The sequence below is a fragment of the Homo sapiens genome, chromosome 4 (genome assembly GCF_000001405.40).
Source record: "Homo sapiens chromosome 4, GRCh38.p14 Primary Assembly".
NCBI classification, from domain to species: Eukaryota; Metazoa; Chordata; class Mammalia; order Primates; family Hominidae; genus Homo; species Homo sapiens.
In genome coordinates, this window is record NC_000004.12 from 122,954,422 (window position 1) to 122,978,804 (window position 24,383).

Below are 24,383 nucleotides of genomic sequence, written 5' to 3' on the forward strand. Positions count from 1 at the left end.
GGCACCATTGGTCTGACTTTATCTTGGTAGAGAGAACAGGACCTCTATGGGCTTATCCCAGTCCTCACTCTGCTCCTCACTAGAGCTCTCCACTGGGTCCCTGGACTTAGGAAGATTTAGTCATATAGTCCTAACTTGGCATGGGAGCTGGCGACCCTTCAAACAGGCTACCTGACAAGCTGGGATTTCCATTTTGTCATCCTGTTTCTGCAGGTAGGACAGTAGGGTCTCTGATGTTTTAGGTTGAGCTAGTCTGGCATCTCTTTCTACTCATAGTTCTTCCTATAACAGACAACCCCTGGCCTGTGCTGGGAGCTCAGCCTCAGTGGCTGCTGGGAGCACAGTCAAGAATGGCCAGCCATTGTGGCTGCCACAGCTCAGGCATCTAACTTTTGCTTAGTTAGATCCACCCCCTGCAACAGCTCTTCCAGACCCTTCGGTGTTTTTGGGGTGTTCTGTACTCATACATTGGGTCCCATCCATCAAGGATAGTGGCTTTTGGGCACCACATAAATGTGATGGTCAGCCCGGGACCCCCCCTTGGATTTCCCCTTTCCTGATCTTACGGTCTCGGTGCTCATGAAATTTTTCTCCACCTTCCTGCTGGGTTCACCAGTTGTGGTACTGAGTCCGTGTTAACTTCTGTAAGGATGGCACCAGGTTCAAGAGGCAAAAGAGACCTGGAGCTAGCAAACAAGACATAGGGTTTTATTAGGGAGAACTAACATACAGGGACAGTCCAGTGGTGGTGGACTAGACAGGAGAACCTCAACTGCTTGCAAAAAGCATGCAGCTTATATAGCACTTTTATTTGGCACCCTCCGTGCAGCAGCCTTCACGTGGCAACCCTCCTTTCTTAAGTTATTGCTCTCAGGTGCATTTGCCATACACCCACTCCCACCGTAATGGCATTAATCCATTCCTGAGGATTAATGTTGTTACGGTCTCATGGCCTAATCGCCTCCCAGTGGTCCTACCTCTTAATACAATAAAAATATCAATTAAATTTCAACATGAGTTGTGGAAGGGACATTCAAACCATTGCAGTTATTTTAGAGCTTTAGTTCAGAAATACAAATGCAATAACTTTTACCTCCAAATCATTGACTCATAGTTGTCTAATTTAGTAGGCTTTGAAGACCCTGCCTTTAGTCTTTTTGACCTTTTATCTGGACTGATATATGTAGGGAAAGAGGCTCAAGAAGGAAAAACAGTTAGGAAAAGAAAACTTGGAAGAGATATTTAGGAATCTTTGAATATCTTACTGTTGGTGGAGAAAATCGTTTTTCTTTCATTTTATTTGATCATTACCACAATTTCTAGGTTATAGGAATCACAGTTGGGAGAGACTGCAGGTTATGTAGACTATCAAGGCAAATACAAACATTCTTTTGGTACATTTTGCTCTAGGACTGGGTCTCACTCTGTCTAGTTTCTGTGAAGCTGCTTCTAGCGTCACAGGGATTAGTGGGCCTGGTCGTAGAAATGGATTACCTAGGGATCAAAAAGCAGAAGTATCAGTAGATAGCTTTGCTTCTTTCATTGCATAAGGTGGTAATGAAGAGTCTGGATTGCTGTGTAGGTGTTGCTCTGTAGGACTTGCCATGTTCAGCATGCCTTACTAGAGACTTTTTGACTTTCTAATACATTTTATGCACTCTAGAAGGCTCTGGAATTTTTGCTGTCCAGAAATACACTGTCTGATGAAGGAAAGAGATTTGTAAACAACTACAAATATAATGATAAACTACTCATAAAAATGTAAAAATGTAGTGACTTCTGTGAGGAAAGCAAATACTGTGGTTAAATAGAAAAAATGACATCTAAGAAGAAGCTTAGAGTAGGAGTTCTACAGTGAGAAAGTGAGAAAAGGAAAACATTATTTGATTGAATCCTCCTACCAACCCTGTGATAGAAGTATCAGACAGACTCAAGAAAGGCCTCAGAGCGAGTATCCAGCAGAGCTGGGATTTAAAGCCAAGGTCATCTTACTTCAACTTCATGCTCTTAATTAAAACTAATAAAAGGTGGATCTTGTTTAGAGGGGTATAAGACTTTATAATTTAATTTTAGCGTATGATACTAAGGAGAGCATCAGTTGATAAAGTAAGGAGAGCATCAGTTGATAAAGTAGAAAATATGCAGGTGTTGAACTGATCTATTTTCCCCTAATCTAGCAATGAATCAGATTATGAAGAGTAGTTTTATTTATGTATTTATTTATTTTGAGATGGAGTCTTGCTCTGTCGCCCAGGCTGGAGTGCAGTGGCGTGATCTCGGCTCACTGCAAGCTCCGCCTATGAGGAGTAGTTTTTAAAAAGATTAGTGTTCTAATTACAGAATCCAGTAGGGAAAATATGTTTGGTTTTGTGTATACTGTCCCAAATACTAGTGTATGTTGTATTATGTAGTATCATTTTCTTAACTTTATATAGCAGAATAAAATTTGAAAACAGTATGCTGGAATTTTTGCAAGAGAATTTTCTAATGAGGCAGGGTGGTATAGTGTAGAATAGGTTTTGAGAGTTGGACAGACTTGCTTTTAAAATCAGGCTTGTGATCTTAGACAGGTTCTATGCCTTATCTGAGCCTCAGTTTTCTCCATTTGTAAATTGAGGAGATTGGAGTAGATGATATTTTAGTGTCATAATGCATTATGACATTCCCTGGACGTAAGGGAGAACAAGAAAAAAATGGAAGAAAAAGAAGGATAGGAAGAATTAGAAAAAGGAAAGGGAGAAAGAAGGTAAAGAAAAAGCCCTAAGCCTCTTCAGGCCTCATCGGCTATTTTCAGTGGTCTTCTCTTTTGTATCTGTGTGAATGACTTACACTTATGTAGTTAGGGTTTTCCCATGGTGTTCTTAGAAACAGTGCTATAAAGCAGACTAATGTTGGTTGTGAAGTGCACTGCATTTTCTCATTGGAACAGTTTTATAATTTCTGACTAAAGACAGAGTAAATTACCAGTTTGATTAGTAGTGTGACTTAGAAAGCTGAAACAATTGGGAAACTATAAGCATTTGAAGTAGTAGGACTATGTTCCAAGTGCTATAGAATAGGCATAAGTGTATCCCACTTATCGAACATAACAGCAGCATTCCTGTTTACTATGATGTGTGCATTGAGCATAGGGAAAAACATTCATTCTGCATGGTAGATTTGAACTACTCTCTTAGCTTTAAATAAAAAGAATTGGACATTTGGTGTTGCATTCCACCTCAGGTTACAGCAGTTATTAGGGAATAATTTGAGTTGCTCTCAGTCCTTTGAAATAACTGCCTACACAAGTTTGAACTCACATCTGTTTTTTGTTGTTGTTGTTGTTGTTAAACATGATAAGTTTCCTTGGGCAGGTGCAAGCAGTCACAATCATTACACTGATCTTAGAATTACCCAGAAAGTTAGAATAATTGTTTTTTTAAAGAGTCATGGTAATATCTTAATATTTGGAGGCAATATTAATGACTTCTGGTATATTATAGGTGCTCAATAAGTATTTGATTAGTTGAAGAATAATTTGAGAAATATGTGTGAAATCTAGGAGACATAATTATTACCCTATACACCCTTGATAAAGGAATAGTGTTTATTAATTTTAGAGTTGAGCTTAGTTTTGTTTGTAAACACCTTGGGAATCATCTCTTTTTTTCCACTCTTTGTTGCCTTCAGAAATCTCTGCTTTGCGCTGAGGAAAGAACTCTGAAGTGGTTATTCCTGCCTTTATAAGTAGCAATGAGCAAGTTATATGTTCTGTGTAATCTTCAAAAATGTAGGACAGTGAGGCTGCTTTAAATAACTGGTTTTAGTCCATTTTTGCCTTCCCACTGACAGATTTCCAAGCTTTGGCTCTGATACGGCCTTTAACTACATTTGTTTAAAACAAGTGCTTTTCAGGAGGTGTTTTCATTGTTCACCAGTTGTGCTATGTTTAAATGGAGTGCTTGTAAATGGCCACTGGCATATATGGGTAGTTAAGGCATCTTGACCAGATTCGTGAGTTTGACACTAAGAGACTCCATCTCCAGATGTATTTCTGGGTATGTAGGTTAAATCTATCTCTTTCTATTATTTATTCTTCCCCACGGAATTCAGGTTTGTTTCACATGTTTTTAATTCAGGACCAATCACTTAGAGCAAAGAGTCTTAAACATTATTATATGAGAATCACCTGTAGAATTTACTAAACTCGGTTACTGAATCCCCCTGACAAGAGTTTCTGATTCAGTAGGTCTGAGCTGGTGCCTGAGAATGCTAACAAGTTCCCAGGTGATGCTAATGCTGGTGCTAATGCGGCTGATCTGGAGACCACACTTTGAGAGCTATTGACCTATAGGGCATTAGTTCCTAAACCTCATTATGCATCAGGCTCACCTGGGAAACTACACATTCACTCATGCTCACAGTCACATTCCCACTCATAATTAAGTGTTTAAGGGAGTTAGGAAGCTGGAGGCAGGATCTATAATGTTTTCCAAGTGATTTTGAAGCAGCCAGTCTTGCCCTTGTCTGTGACTGGACATTTGATTCGCTGATTTAGGCAAGTGGTTCTCCAACCTATGTAAGAAGCATTTGTAGAGCTCGTGAAAACACAGTTCTGGGGTCTATCCTGCTGATTCCTGTAGGTCCAGAAGGTCCAAGTGGGGCCCCAGATTTGCATTTCTAACAAGCTTGCAGGTATGTCATTGCTGCTGGTCCAAGAACTGTACTTTGAGAATCACTGATCTAGGGCAACCAACTACCCAGTTTTTGGAGATTCTCTAACTGATTTAAATAACTGGATTAAATTTAGGGATTGAAATTCTTTGACCGTCTCTAATAGTGTTGTTGCGTTTCCTCCCAGAAGTTTTTTGTGATAGTAATGTGCTCTTCCAAACTATCATTTAACTTTGCCACTCAAGAGAAAATGAATGTCTTAAGTTTTTCAGTTATGTATAATGGTTCCGAATAAAACTTTAAAAGTGGCAAATAATTCTGAAAAAAAGTCACAAGTAAAACAGTTAATTAACAATTCAGAATACAAGTAAGAGTACAGACATGTGTATTTCCTAGTTAAGATTGTGGACCTGCATGTTTGTGCTTTTTATATGTTGTGTCTCTGATGATTTTCCCTCTTCTGGACTGCCGCATAGTGAAGGAAGCTCTGTACTTTTTAACAAAAGTTGTGCACGTATGTCTAGTAATGGCATGAATTGAAGTGATTCAGAATTTCTTAGAACATAGTGAGCTATGCTTCCTGATTGTTTCTGTAATCTAAAGGTTATTGTTTGTAGGATATGAATACAAAACCTCTGTAGTGTTTGTGTAGATTGTACATGCCTTTTCAGAGGATAGAAGGTTTACAATCCATACTTTGTGAGAGTGATAATGCGTCTTTTACAGTGTGCTTACTCTCAACATCTCTAATCTTTTATTCCAGGTTACTAAGTATTTTCCATATCTTTTAACTTTGTTCCCATAATGAATATGAAAATTGGAAGCACTACAATAGGAAGTGTTGCTTTCAACCCTTAGATCTCACATTATCTGAGCAGATAACAACGTTTGGTGTTTGTGATTGGGTGTGAAGCTTATTTTCAAAAGTTATATTTTCTTTATAATTAATTTTTTAGCTAGAGTGTGGTTTGATATGTCGTGACTTGTCCAAAGAGCTAATGTTTTGTAGTTCACCTTTTTAAAGCAAAGAGCAGCTGCATTTTGAAATGTTTTATCTCAAATGGGCAAGTTGTTTACAAGCTAGACTCTAACACATCCTGACATTTAGTGTCTGTGTTTGTATTCCTGCTGGGATTAGGCTGCCTTTCTAATTAATTAGTTGCATAGCCTTTTATTAATTCCCTCAAAATTTATAATGTTTTAAATTAACAACATAGATAAGCATACTGCATTTTTTGGGAAAACATGAAATATTAATTATGTAGCAGTGACATAAGTTTCGTAAACTCTGTTGAATGTTAGAAGATGCTTACAACAATGTTTTCCAAATATAGGGATTTATTATAAACTTATCCTTCTAAGGCTGCCTGTGCCATTTCAGGAGAGTGAATATAAATAGATCTTGATTTCTTCAAGAAGTGGACTTAGTCATTTTGTTTATGGTGAAAGGAAGTATTTGCTTTGCGTCTCTAAGAATTGTCTTTAGCATCCTTGTTAATTACACATCATTTCAACATGTTCTTACCAAATTCTCAGGCCTTGATAAGGTAGCATAACAGAACAGGAAGAATTAAAACTCATATTTAAATAATTATTTTGTTATTACAGCACTTAAATCTGTCTAGTAGCAATACCGAATCTAATAATTGTAACTTTTTCTGAGATGGAAAATTTTATCTCTTGTCCAGTGTTCTGAGATATTTTTAGCTCATTTGTCCCTCCACCCCCAACTAGCTTACTTTAACAGGGATTTATGGAGCATCTGCTATGTATGTAATAGTCCAACTCTTATGAAAGGTTCTGTTTCTAATATTTTTTACTATTTTTTCAATTCTGTCAACGTTGTTTTCTAAGTTAGAATTAAAATATTGATACTGTAGAAATTTGATATTTTAAAATAAAGTCCAGGGAAATAATGGGACTTATTGCAAAGCTTATGGTGAGCTCTACATTCAGATGCTATCATTATACTTTATCAGCTGATAAACATTGAGCAAGCTATTCAACCTCTTGGGTTTTATATCCTCACCAGCTAAGTAGGGATAACACTATATGGTTTTAAGAGTTCTTATGAGGTTTAGTAATATAGCCTGGCAGCAGTGGTGATGGTTTATATAGGCCCTTGATAAGTGTCACTTAATTTCTCCTTTTCTTCTTTCGCCTCTGGAAAATTGATATTTAAACATTTTCTAAAAATTGTATTTTACGTATATTTATGCATTTCTCTGGTAGAAGCTTGTTTGGATTTTGGCAATTTTTCTGATATGAAGTGTTCTTGATTATCCTAGTATAAAAGATAGGGAACTCTGGCAGAATCCTTTGCTTTGCTAAAGTAGTGATTTTCACTGAATCTGAATCAGTAAAAATCTTGCCCGTCAGTAAGAATATGCAGACTAGAGATATGGCTTGTTTTTGGGTAGCCTCCTTGACAGATTTTCTTTCTTTTTGAGACGGAGTCTTACGCTTTTTGCCCAGGCCGGAGTGCAGTGGCGCAGTCTTGGCTCACTGCAACCTCTGCCTCCTGGGTTCAAATGATTCTCCTTCCTCAGACTCCTGAGTAGCTGGGATTACAGGCATGCACTACAACGCCTGGCTAATTTTTGTATTTTTAATAGAGACGGGGTTCCACCATGTTGACCAGTTTGGTCCTGAATTCCTGACCTCAAGTGATCTGCTCACTTCAGCCTCCCAAAGTGCTGGGATTACAAGCATGAACCACTGTTCTGGCTGACAGATTTTCTTGCTGAACTTTGGGTCATCCCAGATGTGAGTTCGCTGTAGGCGTGTCATAGAGCAACAGTAGTAGGAATACAAGTTAAATTGATGTATATGTCATGATAATCAGTCCAATTCAGTGGTCCCCAACCTTTCTGGCACCAGGGACCGGTTTTGTGGAAGACAGTTTTTCCATGGACCTGGGGTGAGAGGGTGGGGATGATATCCGGATGAAACTGTTCCACCTCAGATCATCAGGCATTAGATTCTCATAAGGAGCAGACAACCTATTTCCCTCACGTGCACAATTCACAGTGGAGTTCACACTCCTAGGAGAATTAATGCTACTGCTGACCTGATAGGAGGCGGAGCTCAGGTAGTAATGCTTGCTCGCCTGCTGCCCACCTCCTGCTGTGAAGCCCAGTTCCTAATAGGCTAGTACCAGCCCATGGGCCATTGGTTGGGGACCCCTGCTCTAATTAATGCATTTTACAAGGGACGTATTATTGTAGCTAGATAAATAAGCAGTAATTTTGCAGCATATTTCATAAGGCAATGAATTTTCTCCTCTGTTTTATAATTCTAAAATGTAGTTATAGAATGTTATATTTGTGATATTGGGATTTGTCCTACTGTGTAAATATTATGGATATTATATAGAGATGGAATTATTTTTATCAGTGAAGTGGGTATTTTAGTATTACTTTTGCTACTCATTTGAGATGACTGGAACTGAATGGTTTGTTTCAGAAAAAGAGGTGGTAGTTTTGATTCTGTTTAAGCTCTAAATGACATATACTATTTACTTTGCTAGTAGAAGATTTTCTGGGTTGTTTTGCCAAGACTATAAAAATATAAAACTTGAGGAAAGGTTTTCTTTCTAATTAAAACAATCACAAAAATAAAACCAGGCTATCTAAATAAAAGTTATTTCTGAGAGTTATTCTTGATTCTTTTTTCTCTTACTCTTTTTTTATCTAATCCTGTCAGCTCTGTTTTCATACTTATTCAGAATTTGACCTCTTAAAAAAATTAACTACTTTCACTGCTATACCACAGTTCACACCATCATCAGCTCTTGTCTGGACTATTGAAATACCTTCTTCCTGCCTACTGTTTCTTTTTCACCTCTCATCTATCTTTATTTTTTACATTGTCTAACTTGGAAGACTTTGAATTATAGGTTTTGAAGATGAGGACAGGTCTAGGTTAGAGATATGGACTTGGGAGTTGTTAGTAGTTAACATGGTGAAGCTGTAGAAAGAATGAAATCACTAACAGAAGGTGAGTAGAGTTCCTTCACTCATTGAGCCAGGTACTGCACTAGATGGTGGGGCTACCTCAATGAATAAGATAGACTTGGGCTCTCTCCTCATGAAACTAAGACTCACAGGGAAATGGAACAGTATATAAGATAAGTACAATACAGTGTGTTGGGTGTTATGTGAATGATCAGGGTGCATTCAGAATGCTAATACAGTAGAAAGGTCTTGGGAAATACTGTCATTCAAAGGTTGGGTTGTTAAAAAATATTTGGTATAGGAAACTGAGGAGTGGCTAGAGAGATGGGAAGAGAACCCAAAGAAGTGGTGACTCAGATGAAATGAGGTAAGCACTCAGTGAGGAAATAATGGGTATTGGTTCACACTCATTGAGTACTTGGATTATGTCAACCACTGTTTGAAGCACCTTGTATGTACTAACACATTTCTTCCTCACAGCAGCTCTCTGAGGTTCTCTTTATTTTGTAGTTGAGGAAACTTATGTCAGATTAAGGAAATTTCCCAAGATCACACAGGTAATAAATAGTGGAACTAGGATCAACAGTGTTGATCACAGTAGAGACCACAGTTACATAAAGTGCTTAGTTCCCTACTTGGGAGGTCATGGGAGTGTGGAAGAGAGACATTCTAGTGGTGTCTTGTGCCTAGCTGCTGGATTGCAATAAATTGAAGGGTGATTGATTGAGAGTTGAAGAAGCAGATATAGTGATTGTCAATTTCTTTTTTAGTTTTGTTGATGTATTATTATTAATATTTAGAGTTTTTATGCTTTCCATAAAAGAGGGATAAATATAGTTAGTCCTCCCTCCTTGTCATCCCTCCCTGTCTCCAGTAAAAACCAAATCTAACTATATTTCTTTATTATTTTCCTGGTTACTCTTCTCTTACCTGGGCCCTGACTTAGTCTACCCAGCTGTGAATCTTCAGCTTCTCTTGGCATACAAATTGTACTCTAATCACCTTTTTTCAAATAACAAAAACAAAAACAAAACTCAGTATTTTAGTAAGGTTGTTAAGCCAGGTAGGTAAATAATGAAATATGAAAAATTTGAAAATGGAAACTGTATTTAGGGCAGTTTGAAACCTAGGACTGGTGAAGTGAATTAATCTTGATGTTTTACAACTATAGGTTGGTGCAAAAGTAATTGCGGCTGGGCATAGTGGCTCACACCTGTAATCCCAGCACTTCGGGAGGCTGAGGCGGGTGGACCACTTGAGGTCAGGAGTTCGAGACCAGTGTGGCCAACATGGTGAAACCCCGTCTCTACTAAAAATGCAAAAATTAGCCGGGTGTGGTGGCACATGCCTGTAGTCCCAGCTGCTTGGGAGGCTGAGGCACAAGAATTGCTTGAACCCAGGAGGAGGAAGTTGCAGTCAGCCAAAATCATGGCACTGCACTTCAGCCTGGGCAACAGAGCAAGACTGTCTCAAAAAAAAAAAAAAAAAGTAATTGCAAAAACTGCAACTAGAATAGAATAATCGACTACTCTTTCAGAGATAATTTAGTACATTCCCTTATTTCACAGATGAGGAGAGACTATGTGATACATTTAAACTCAAGCAGTTAGTGAGAAATAAGCCTTGGCTTAAGGTTCAGATCTGGAGACAAATGTGCCTTCCACAGTGCCATTACCTTTAAAAGCAACTTTTGAAAGTGATAGAGGGTTTGGAATAGACTGGCTCCTTTGATCAGTTTAAGTTACAGCAGTCACTTATAATATAAATAAGGTGAGAACTACAATAACCTTTAAGGATATTCTATTTGATTTTTTAAAAATTTATTTATTAATGGGCAGTGAGAAATGAAACTTTCCTAGTGGTACAGCAAGTGATACTTAGCACCTTGTCTATACTTAATACAGAGTTGAGGGAGAATAAAGACTCCAAATAAAACAAATTTTTTAGAGTTCTGATATTTTGAGGAAAGTACATTTTAAAAAAAGGAGACTTAGATTTTTGTTATACTTGCTTTGTTTTCATATATGTGAGTATATCATTAGCAAATTTTATGCTCAACTTTTAGAATTTAAATATGAGATCCAGATGTCCAAGTTTTATGTTACCTTTTCATATAATTAAGTTTCTGTAGGCAGGTAGTAATTCTAAAAGGGATTGTTAACTTCTCTGATCAGTTTAATTTTATTGTTAGTTTCTAATGAAGGAGCTTAATTGTGATCTCAAAAATAACATATAACTTAGCAAGCACTGAGTATAAAATTGTAGGATTTTATAAACATGGGGACAAGATGATGTTTGTTGTTTGCATCTGGAGCAGATGGTTTTGAAGAGCATGGGTTTAGAATAATTGCTCTTGTCCAGAATTGGTTATATTGAAATATTGATGTAGAGCTTGAGGTGGAGCAAGTCATATACAAGTCATACGTTGGAAACAGTGTGTTGACATTTGGCTCTCTAAAGCATTTTGCCTTTTCTTCCCTTCAAGGTATCTTGTTTTCCAGTCTTAAAAATTTTAAGAGCACTGGAAAATAAAATAATGAAAAGAAGATGATACATTTTTTGTTGAATTAGCCACACCTCTTTTTTATTTCAAAATTGTGTTTCTTAACATAGCAGTATTGCTTCTGCATTTGCTTACATTTTTAAAAAATTAACTCCAAAGTTAGTGAGAAGAGGAAATGTTGATGGCTTACTTTCAACCATATTCCTTGATGTACATGTGTCCATTTGTTCTTCTAGTTAATTGTCTTCAGGTTTCTAAAAATATATGTATTTTTAAAAATTTAATCTTTCATTATGGGTTCCAGTATGGCCTTATTAGAAATGGTGATGGCCAATAATTTAAACTTAGCATCATAGAATTTTAAGTTATTTAAATTTGAATAATTAGACAAAATACATTTTAATCTTTTCATTTAATAAATGAGGTAACTGATGGCCAAAAGGGCTAAGTCTTATTTAAAGTTGTGCCTGAGCTAGTTAATGGCAGACCTAGAGCCATGGAGGATTGGTTGCATTAGTATTATAGCTCCAAGGATCTTTAATTTCTGTAAGCTCTTGATAATATATTTAACATTTAATTCATACAAATTCTGTTTTTCAACTTACATGTTATTTTCAAGAATAGCATTTGTTGTGTAAAATAGGATACGTTTATATAGAGTCCAGAATCAATACTTCAGAGTGGGAAAGAATCTGAAGGCCTGTGGCAGGGGTCTCCAGGATCTCTTACGTTTTTATAGCTTTTGCAAATCAGTAAACTTACCTATTGTTCTTTTCTCCTTTCTAACAATCCACCATACTTTATATCCTCACATACCTACAAACGAAGTAATAGAGTTGGATGTAGGTTTATTTAAACATGTTCTTTCATATGTATAAGACTGAACTCTGGAGACTTAGGATTTTATCTTTTATTATTCTATAGGGCCTCCTAATCTCTAAAGTGCTATGCTCATTCTTGTCTCTATTTATATGCTGTTCCCCCTGCTTGGAATAGTCGGCTGCCTCTTTGGCCCCAATTCCTATTTTATCAGGTTAACATCGATTCACTTTTCAGGGCTAATTACTTGAACTTAGATATATGTTTCAGTTTTTCATTTGTGAAATAAAGGAATGTACTAAATGATTTCTGTGAGAGTCATTAGGTAAACTAATCCTTCCTGAAACTGAGTTCGATGTTCCTGACGTGTTTTTGTGCCACTTTGTTCTTTCCATGTCACAGTACTTGGCATAGTTTATAATAACTACGCGTTATGATGTATCTCTCCTATTAGACTGTTAGCTGTGAGAGATTGATTTGCCTTCTTGTGTACCCTCATATGTAAGAGCTCAGTACAATTGTTTAATGAAGTAATTATGTCTAGGAGGTTCTTGTTGAATATTTTGAGTGAATAGATGAGTTAATATTGAAAAGAGTGCCCATGAAAGAGTAACTCCTGTGGTCAATGAATATATCTTCTCAGTGGCTTTATGATATAATAATACTTTAATTGCTTTCCTTTAACATGAATTGTAACTGAATTGGCAAGAAATACAAGAACAGGGGTTCCATTACTGAGAACTATTTTTAAAAAATATTTTCAAAACCAGTTCGGTGCAGTGGCTCACACCTGCAATCCTAGCACTTTGGGAGGCCAGGCCAGGAGAATAATTTGAGGCCAGGAGTTTGAGACCAGCCTGGGCAATGTAGCAAGGCTCTGTCTCTAAGAGAAATAAAATTAGCCGGTGGTGGTAGTGTGTGTCTGTAGTCCTAGCTACTTGGGAGGCTGAAGTGGGAGGATTGCTTGAGTCTAGGAGTTGAGGCTGCAGTCAGCTATGATTGTACCACTGCACTCCAGCCTGGGTAATAGAGCAAGACCTTGTCTCTTAAAAAAAAAATCAGAGTAACGGCATGTAAAAAATGCTGTTCTCTCTCCTCAAGTTTTGTTTTTCTTCTTTAGTCACCCTGCCTTTCATACCAACCATATTCGTTTGTATAAAATATTCTGGCAAATCAAAACTCTTTGTGAATACTTTAAATCATATAATCTATATTTTGTATTCTAGTATATTTTGCACACTAGTCAGCTTATAAATATGTCCTGCAATGATTCTGAGCCTGATCAGGATTTCTGTATAGAAAATTCCCAAAACTGTTTTTATTATTTTTTTAAAGAGGTAGGGTCTTGCAGTATTGCCGAGACTGGTCTTAAACTCGTGGCCTCAAGTGATCCTCCCACCTTGGCCTCCTGAAGTGCTGGGATTATAGGTGTGAGTCACTGCATTCAGCCCCAAAACCTTTTTTATGGATTTATTTTCCTAGATCATCATGTTTTTAATTATTCTGATTAGAAAGTACTCTAAATAAAGATATTTTCCTGTTTTAGTAATAAAATATTAAGGAATAAACTTCATTGTATATGTACATATGGATACTTAGAACTGAGTTTTTTCATTTTATTAAAATTTTTTTAAATTAATAGACTTTTTTTAGAGCAGTTTTAGGTTTACAGAAGAATAAAGCAGAAAGTACAGATAATTTCCATGTAACTTCCCTTTTTTCCAGCTTCTCCCATTATTACTGTCTTGAGTTAGTGTGGTACCTTTGTTATAATTGATGAGCTAATATTGATACAATGATATTTCATTTTAAACTGCAGTTTATAATTTCTAAAACTACCATCCCTCAATGTTATTTAAACCAGCTCTGTGTTGTTGCTTTATTTATAGTTTTTTTTTACTTGCGCCACACTTTTTACATACTTTTTTAAAATAAACTTCTTTCTCAATGTATTGCATGTATACATAAGAGAGCATAAGCTAAAATATCCATGTGTTTTCCAAAGTGAACACACTTGTGTAACCACCACTCAGATCAAGATACAGAGCATTACTAGCTTCCTGGTACCTCTCTCAGACCCTTTCCCAGCCCTACATGCTCACCTCAACCCAAAAGGCAACCACTCTCCTGGCTTCGAATGCCATAGATCAGTTTTGCCTGTTTTGCCTTCTCTTCTTTCACTTGTTTTATGGTTTGGGAGCTTCATCATTTTATTCTGCATAGCAGGAGTTCATTTTTATTGCTGAATTCGATTGTTTAAGTATTATGAGTAATGCCATGAACATTCTTGCACATGCCTTTTGCTGCACAAATGTATGCATTTCTGTCTATTATTTGTCTAAGAGTGGAATTATTGGGTTATAGGATTCTTGTTACTAAATACTGCCAAAACGTTTTTGTAGTGATTTTACCAATTTACCTTTCTACCTGTTGTGCGTGAAAATTCCAGTTTCTTCTCGTGGGTGCTGACATGGAGTTTATAGCAGTATTTCATTGTGGTTTTAGTTCCCTGATGACTGAGTCTGAGTACTTTTTATATTTGAATTGACCATTTAGATGTCTTTCTTTGTGATGTGCCTGTCAAGTATCTATTCAATTTTTCTGTAGGGTTACTTTTTAAAAATATATTGATTTGTGGAAGTTATTAATATAGCTTAGTTGTGAGACCTTTGTTAGATATATGTATTTTAAATATCTTCTACTCTGTGGCTTACATTTTTATTCTCTGTAGTATCTTTTTGAGGAACAGAAAGTTTATAATTATATATTTATTATAATATATATTGATATAAAGGATCCAGTTCATCAGTCTTTTTCTTCGTGGCTGGTGATTTTTGTAGCTAGCTTAAGAAATCTTGGTCAAATCTACTGTTAGGTATATTTTCTCTTACCTTCTTGATGCTTTTATTGTTTTTCCTTTCATGTTGCTATCTTTAATTGCTTCACTTTTTTTCATATAGATGTGTTATACCAGTTATTGAAATGACCATCAATTTCTGCCTTGCTTCTGTGTTACCTTTGTTGTACATAAATCAAGGGTTTGTGTTCATTTTAGATTCTCTGCTCTGCCTCAATGGTCTTTTATCCTTGTCCACAATACTGAAATGTCTTCAATACTTTCAGCCTTATAAAAAGTCATAATTTCTGGAGGGTAAGTGATATTTTTTTAAAAAAATGGTCATCAAAATTTTCTTGACTATTGTTGGCACTTTGCATTCCCATAGAAGTTTTAAAATCAATGTGTCGGGTTCTTCCTTCTCCCCACCCAGTAAACTGGCTTGCATTTTGATTGGAATTATTAAGTCTTTCAATCAATTTGGAGAGATTTGGGAAGTTAATACCTTGTAATCCATGAACTTCTTAGATTCCTTCATTTTATTTTAGATTTTCCTTAATTTCCCTCCAGGTAGTTTGGTAGTTTTATGTGAAAAGTCTTGCATACTGTTAATTAGATTTATTCTTAGGTACTTTGGTTTTTTGAATGCACTTATGAATGGCATTTTGTAAAGTTTCACTTGTAATTATTTTATGTTAGTATAGTCACGGACTGCATAACGATGTTTTAGTCAAGGATGAATGGTATATACTACAGTGGCTCTGTAAGATTATAATGGAGCTGAAAAATTCCTATCATCCAGTGACATCATAACCATTGTAAAGTAGTAGTGTAATTAGTATTATTATTTTTAAATTTGGTGTAGCCTAAGTGGATAGTGTTTACAGTAGAGTATAGTAATGTCCTGGGCCTTCACATTTGCTCAGCACATACTCACTGACTTACCCAGAGCAACTTCCAGTCCTATAAGCCTCATTCATGGTAAGTGCCCACACAGGTATAACATTTTTTAATCTTTTATACTATATTTTTACTGTACCTTTTCTTTTTCTATGTTTAGATACACAAATACTTACCATTGTGTTATAGTTACCTATGGTACTGAGTATAGTAACATGCCTTACAGGTTTGTAGCCTTGCTGTATAGTAGGCCATACCATCTAGATTTTCATAAGTAGACTCTTTGATGTTTGCACAATGATAAAATCACATAAAGACACATCTCTCAGAATGTATCCCTGTCATTAAGCAATGCATGGCTGTATCTAGAAAAAGTAAAAAAAAAATTTTTTTTTTTTTTTGAGACGGAATCTCACTTTGTCACCCAGGCTGGAGTGCAGTGGCACGATCTTTGTAAATCTTTTATACTGTATTTTTACTGTACCTTTTCTTTTTCTATGTTTAGGTATACAAATACCATTGTGTTACGGTTACCTACAGTATTGAGTATAGTAACTTGCTGCACAGGTTTGTAGCTTAGAAGCAATAGGCTATACCATATAGCCTAGATGTATAGTAGGCCATACCATCTAGATTTGTATAAGTATACTCTATAATGTTTGCACAATGACAAAATCGCATAAAGACACATCTCTTAGAACGTATCCCTGTCATTAAGCAACGCATGTCTGTATCTAGAAGAAGTAAAAAAAAATTTTTTTTTGAGACGGAGTCTTGCTTTGTCACCCAGGCTGGAGTGCAGTGGCACTATCTCAGCTCACTGCAACCTCTGCCTCCCGGGTTCAAGCAATTCTTGTGCCTCAGCCTCCCAAGTAGCTTAGTAGAGACAGGGTTTCACTATGTTGGCAAGGCTGGTCATGAACTCCTGACCTCAAGTGATCCACTTGCTTTGGCCTCCCAATAGAAAAAGTAATTTTTTTTGTATTGACTGTGTCTACCTACCTTGCCAAATGCACTTATTAATTTTAATAGTGTGGGCCAGGCACAGTGGCTTATACCTATAACTCCAGCACATTGGGAGGCCAAGGTGGGAGGATCCCTTAAGCCCAGGAGCTTGAGACGAGCCTGGGCAACATAGTGGGACACCATCTCTACAGAAAATTTACAGAATAGCTGAGCGTGGTGGTATGCACCTGTAGTCCCAGCTACTTGTGAGGCTGAGGTAGGAGGATTACTTGAGTGTGGGAGGTTGAGGCTATAATGAGCTGAGATTGCACCACTACACTCCAGACTGGGTGACAGAGTGAGACCCTGTCTCAAAAAAACCACAAAAAACAAAATTTTAGTAGTGTGTATGTAAGTTCTTTTGAGTTTTTTATCTATCAATTATGTTATAGTTTTCTATGTATACATTTCAAATAATGAGTTTTAAATTTTATTTTGTTCAACTCTACACCTATTCTTTGTCTTCCTTGACTTACTATACTACATAGGACCTCTGACAGTATTTAATAGAAGTGGTAACAATAGTAATCCTTATCTCATTCTTGATTTAATAGAAAGTTTACAAACTGTTACTTAATATTAAGAATTTTTTTTGTTGTATGCGTGATAAGGAGGTTTGTATCTATTCCTAGCTTTTAAAAAAATATAATTAATGATATTTTATCACATTTCTACATTTATTGAGATAGTCATATGAACTCTTTATTCTATTAATGGGAAGAATGATGTTGATTGATTTTTAAATGTTACATGAATCTGGCATTCCTGTAATAGAGCCAAGTTGTCACAATTTTGTAATTCTTTTTAATGTATTGATCTTTTGGCTGATGTTTTGTTTAAGATATTTGCACCTATGTTCATGAGAGATTGACCTGTAATTTTTTTTCCTTGTAATGTCCCTTTAAGATTTGAGGAGCAAGATTATGCTACCCTTGTGAATCAAGTTGGGAATTATTTTTTCTCTGGAACAATTTTTTAAAAATTAATGTCATATTCATCCTTAAGTATTTGGTGACATTTATCAGTGAAGCCATCTGTACTTAGAATTTTCTCTGTAGGAAAGGTTTTAATTATAGATTTAATTTCTTTAATATCTATTGAAATATTCAAATTGTATAGTTTGTTTGTATATTAGTTTTGGTAAATTTTTTTCCCCTAGAAACTTGTTCATTTTATCTACATTTCAAATTATTTGGCATAAAGTTATTCCTACTATCCTCTTATCTTTTTAATGGCAGTAGGTTTTGTAATGATGTCTGCTTTTTCATTCCTAGTATTGGAAATGTGTCTCTTCTCTCATTTTCAGACAACCAACCTTTGGCTTTACTGGTTACTTTTTTTAATTGTGCATTTGTTTTCTTCATTATTTCCCTCCTTCTTTTTTCTTTTAGGTTTAATTTCTTCTTTTTCTAATTTCTTAAGATGAATGCCTCACTGACTGTCAGTCTTTTTTTTTTTTTATCTACATTAAGCCTACCAGTGTCCCCTTCAGTACTGCAGTAGCAGCATCCTACAGATTTTCATATTATATTTGTATTATTATTCAGTTGAAAAAATTCAGTTTTCATTGTGATTTTTTTTGAGCCATGAGTTATTTAGAAATGAATTAACTGATTTTCAAATATTTGTGTATTTCTTAGCATTTTTTTGTTACTGATTTTGTTATTCATTCTCCTGAGGTCAGAGAACTATACTTTATGATTTCAATCCTTGAGTTACATGGAGAGTTGCTTTGTGTCCTAGCATAGGGTCAGTTTTGGTAGATATTCCAGGTATGCTGGAAAACAGAGTTATTTTATTATTTTGATGTTGTTTTTTAATATATACCAATTAGGATAAGTGAGTTAACTTTGTTTTTCGTATCTTCTGGTATCTTCTATATATTCTTTTTAAAAATTTTGGCTAATAAGGGAAGTATGTTAAAACCTGCAGGCAAGGTCTGTTTCTCCATTTAGTTCTGTTTACTTTTGTTTTATGTATTTTGAATTTTGTTATCAGGCATGTATTAATTTAGAATTTTGTATATTCTTGGTGAATTGACCCTTTTATTACCCCGAGTGTCTGGTGATGCCTCTTACTTAATGCCTATTTGATAGTAGATATAGGTGCACTGTTATCCTTCCATGTATATTTCATTCTGTGTATATTTGCATAGTATTCCTTTTATTCTTTTACTTTCAACCTTTGTATATTCTTATATTTCAGATACATCACTTGTATGCAGGGTAAATTGGGGTTTTATTTTTTTAATCCATCTGCTGTTGTCATTGTTTAAATTCAAGTACTTAATACATTTATATTTAGGGTAATATCTTAAAATACTTAGGTTTAATGTACTTCCTTATTTGCCCCACTTGTATGTTTTTTTTCCTGTTTTTTTTTTCATTCTTTTGGAATAGGCAAGTATTTTTATTATTTCATCCTCTTCCCATTGTCTTTTTAGTTAAACATTTTAACTTGGCCTTTAGTGAATATCCTATGTTTGTCTCCTTGGCTTATTAGGGGCTAGTATGCATTGCAAACATTGCAACAGATGTTTACTTATTATTTGGGTACATTAAGTTGTGCTATGTTTATTACAGAATCAGTCTTTGTACTTTACTTTTTTGGAGACAGGGTCTCACCTGTCACCCAAGTTTAGTGACTGAGTGCAGCAGCATGATGATGGCTCACTGCGGTCTTGACTTCCTGGGCTCAAACAGTCATTGCGTGTAGCTAGGACTATAGGCACATGCCACGAAGCCTGGCTAATTTTTGAAATTTTTTTAGAGATGAAGACACACAGTGTTGCCCAGGCTAGTCTCGGACTCCTGGATGCAAGCTCTCCGCCCGTCTCAGCCTCCCAAAGTGTTGGGATTACAAGTGTGAGCCACCGTGCCCAACTTGTACTTTACTATTTTTTAACTTTTGAAAAATTCCATGTTTCTCTTGCCTTTGTTTTCCTCCTGTGAGTTACTATTTTCTTTCTATGTTCAGAGGAGTGGAGATTTTATCCAGCTTAAATTCTGTAGTTTGTATTAGAAATAATAGAGATTTTGTTATTTTATAAATATGTTTATATTATAATATTAAATATACTTTTAAAAACCACATATTGCCTGTGTTTTCTAGACCCCTTCCTTAAATGAAAATAATGTATCATTTAGTGTCAGATTTTATGTTTGCATGATATAAAAAAAAGTGGCAGGAAAATTACTAGACCATTTTCCCTGTTTCAGTTTTTCTGTCTCAGTAGGGTGATGTATCTGGTCCAAATTAGAAATATTGGCAAGTATTGCCAGATACTATCTGGCATTGAAGTATTTTGATTACATCCATTTATGTTAGATATTTTAGGAACAGCTTAAATTTTCCCAGGCCACAAGGTACTGTTTGATACAACATGGCACTGCATAGATACTCCTCAACTTATGATGGGGTTATGTCCTGAAAAAACTAGTGAGTCAAAATATGTGTGTGGCTGACTTGGAACTGTAGCTTGCTGTGGCTGCCCAGCGTTGCAAGAAAATTACTGAATTCATATTGCTTTTGTACCATTGTAAAGTGGAAAACTCTTTTTTTTTTGAGACGGAGTTTTGCTATTATTGCCCAGGCTGGAGTGCAATGGTGCGATCTCGGCTCACCGCAGCCTCTGCCTCCTGGGTTCAAGCGATTCTCCTGCCTCAGCCTCCCAAGCAGCTAGGATTACAGGCATGCACCACCACACCCGGCTAATTTTGTATTTTTAGTAGAGACGTGGTTTCTCCATGTTGGTCAGGCTGGTCTCGAACTCTTGATCTCAGGTGATCCGCTTGCCTTGGCCTCCCAAAGTGGTGGGATTACAGGCATGAGCCACCACACCTGGCCATAAAGTTGAAAAGTCTTAAGTTGAATCCTAAGTCAGGGACTGTCTTTATCACTGAATATTTTTTAATGCTTCTGCTCCATTTAACTAATGAGGATGTCGAGTAGTAAATCGACCCAATTTATCATCGTCTTAGTCCAGTTTCTGCTGCTATAACAAAATACCACATACTTGGTAATTTACAAAGAACAGAAATTTATTTCTCACAGTTCTGGAGGCTGGAAAGTCCAAGATCAAGGTGCTGGCAGGTTTGGGCTCAGTCTCTTTGCATCCAAGATGGTGCCTTGAATGCCATATTCTCTAAAGGAGAGGAACGTTGTGTCCTCACATAGCAGAAGGGTAAGAAAAAGGGCAAGCCTTTCTTATAGCTGTATTAATCCATTCATGAGGCTGGAGACACCTCTCATTAGGCCTCACCTCCCATCAGTGTGTCATTAGGGATTAAGTTTTAACATGAGTTTTGGAGGAGACAAAAACATTCATACCATAGCAAACATAAACATGTCAAGAATTGTAAAGGGTCTGAGATTTTACTCTACTTTTACTCTATTCTAACAAATTTTGTGAGTGGCTGCAGAAGAGTCAAAGGAAAGAATATTGCAGCAACATAATTAGCTAGAGTAGCAGCATTTGCACCAGTTCCTGAGCCTCAGTTTTCACGGAGTGATACAGAGGGCTACCTGACACCTGAGCCTTTATAGGCTTGCATCACAGTAGGGGAGCCTTGAATTGTAGAACCTGAATCTTTTATAATGGACAGTAAGCATGTCTATCCTTTGCTTTGGAGAGAGACACTTTCTTTTCCTGCATACCAACATCCTTTAAAAGATAGTCTTGAACAGAGGCAGTCAGTGATTTTACTCTCAAGCAGAAGTGCAAGAGATGTGAAGAACCATCTTTCAGCATTTTGGAAGGCAGATAAAGCAAGTGGGTATTTGTAAGATGTCCTAAAGAAGTGACTTGCTGTCTTTAGGAAGCAGGGGATCTATTTTTGGTGTATGTTTGTACTATTCACTGCTTTTTCTTGGTAGAGAAAGATACTCAACCCTCTGTTTTGTGGAGTTTTGTATCTTCTTTTTATTAATGCTTCTGTTTATATATAAAAGTTCAAATAAGTGAAAACAAAATGATGGAGTGGTATCATTTTAATTTAGTAAAAATGTATTGAGGTATAGTGTTTTGAACAAGAAAGGTTAAAAAATCATGGGAGCTAGCTGGTGTTCCAGGATAACTTTAGATATTCAGACTGGATTTCTGAGAGATCTCTGAGATTAAACTCCTTCAAAGTGGAATTTTATTAAACACTCTTAACACAAAGAGCATATAGTGACTTACTGTCTTCTAGACTAAAGGTCGTCACAGATCAAAGGGCTCTAAATCTCACAGCCTGATGGAGAGGACATTCACTCTTGTCAATGTTTAAATTTCAAGCAAATAGCAAAGACAAAGAACTTAGTATCTAACTTCTCAAGTCAGCATGGTATCTTTGAATTTATTTTGGATCTCTCTAAATTTGACTTTGTTGACTATCTTCCTGGCTGCTTTAGTACCTTTTATTCTACGTCATCCTAGTTTTTCTTTCCCTTTTAAAACATCGTTTCTTTTTATGCTATTCAATTGATGGGCTTTCCTAAGATTGAGCCTTCTACACTTATTCCTCCATCCCTGACCCCTCACTAGCCTCCCCTTTTAGATCTCTCCCTTGCTATAATATCAAATCTTACATGTATGCACATCACTCTGAAGTTTGCTTCGCTCTTGTATTTCAAAATCACATTTCCAACTGCCACCTGAATGTTTGCTTGCAGGTGTTTTCCCAGTACCTTAAAACTTTGTAATTCTAGTTTGAATGTATTTACCAAAAGGGCAGGGGCAAAAGCATGTTTTAATTTTAATATTTTACTCTTTTAAAAGAAGTTCCCCAAACAAATTATTTTGATAAATCTTTTTGGCTTTTTTTATGGATGTTGTTTTGTAAATTCTATTTTATATTTGTAAATAATGCTTTCTCATATTAAGTATTTGTCATATTTTCATTGCCAAAACTAAGTGCTTGGATTTTTACATTTATTCTTCACATTCTTCCACCTCTCTTCCAACCTCTCATCCCCTCCCCTACAAGGACAAAATGTTTTAAATGCTGTAATCTTGCATGGGGTTTGGGTTTTTTAATATTTTTATTGGTGATAATTCTGTCACAGGATCCTTAGGGTGTCACTTTTCCAGCCAGAAACCTCTGTGGCCGGTGGCACCTCTGCCCGAGTTATATCCTCGGGCCCACTGGGCTTGTTCTGCCCACTTGGTCCAGCAGGCTGTACTTGGCTTGTGCTATTGACCTGGATCCTACACCTGCCAAGGGTGAGCCAGGCGCAGAGCAGTGAAGGGGGTGTGAGTGAGCCCGAGGTCCGGCCACTGCACACAGCCAGGCATGCTGGCTGCAGTGGAGTGGACAGCCCCAGGTGCAGGCACAGGCACCGGCTCTGTGTGAGGATGTGGCTGGACCAGGCATACCACAAGTGTTTTCCACCGTGGGCACCAGGTAACGTGGTGGTACCTGGAAGCTTGGAGATGTTGGAAACAGCAGAGCCCCAAAGAGAGTGTCACAGCTCTGGTATCACAGCTCTGATCACAGCCCTTGCATCTGGGCTCCCCAGAGGGCCACAGCTCCTCTTCTTCTCATTGCCCAAAATGTGGTGACCAGTGGGCGTGTTTCAGTCCTGTTTGTGTTACAGCTCTTTCAGTCCTGCCATTTGGAAGGTCCTGAGTTCTTGTGCAGCCTTTAGGAAGAATGAGGTATGTGGACAGCTGGAGGGTGAGCAAGGCAGAGAGGAGCTTCATTGAGCAAGAGAACAGCTCTCAGGAGACCTGAAGTGGGTAGGTCCTTCTGCCATCAGGTCGTCCTGATGAGCGTCCAGCTCTCAGCAGAGAGGATACCTGGAGGGGGTAGCTGCTGTCCACAGGCAGGCCATCCTCACAAATGTCTAGCTTTCCGCAGAGAGGACACCTGGAGTGGGTAGCTCCTTTCTGCAGGTAGGTCATCCTGATGAGTGTCCTGCTGTCAGTGGAGAGGAGACCCAGAGTGGGTAGCTTCTTTCTGTAGGCAGGTTGTCCCAGTGCATGTCCAGCTCTCAGTGGAGAGGAGACCAGAATGGGTAGCTCCTATCTGGCATCCCAGCTAGTGTCCAGTTCTCAGCGGAGAGGAGACCCAGAGTGAGTAGCTCCTGTCCTCAAGCTGGTCAGCCTGATGAGTGTCCAGCTCTCAGCAGAGAGGAGACCTGGAGTGGGTGGCTCCTTTCTGCAGGCAGGTTGCCCCAACGAGTGTCTACTTCTCAGCGGAGAGGAGACCCGGAGTGGGTAGCTCCTTTCCATAGGCAGGGTGTCCCAGTGAATGTCCTGCTCTTAGTGGTGAGGAGACCCAGGGTGGGTAGCTCCTTCTCACAGCTGGTAGTCCTGACATCCCAGTGAGTCTGGCTGAGTCGGGTTTTTATGGGCTTCAGAAGGGAGGAAGTGCATGCTGATTGGTCCATGGGTGGCCATGGGCAGGCCCAGAAAAAGCACCATAAGTTCTTGGTCTCAGCTGCAGACTCTACCCAGCTCTGACAGCCTGCCCTCCATGCTTCAGGCTGTCCCTGGCTTAAAGGTGGGGCTTCACCAGGGACTCACTCCTTTCTGCCCAGGAGCCTCTCTGCCTCCTGCTGCCATCAATCATGTCGTCCATGGTGCTGGGGCTGTTCATGCTGAGGGGCGCTTGCAGGACTGCGCCAAGCCACCCTCAGCCTCCCTCACATACTCATTGGCACCCAAAGTCTGGAGGGGACCAAGGTGGAAGGGAGCTGGACTGTCAGTGCCACCTTGAGCACATGAACA

At 37.6% G+C, this 24,383-nt stretch overlaps 1 protein-coding gene across 19 annotated transcripts in view; it reads left to right on the forward strand.

Moving 5' to 3' along the window:
• AFG2A (AAA ATPase AFG2A) overlaps window positions 1-24,383 on the forward strand; it is a 396,356-nt gene that overhangs the window by 31,344 nt on the left and 340,629 nt on the right. The gene's annotated exons all lie outside the window — the stretch shown is intronic.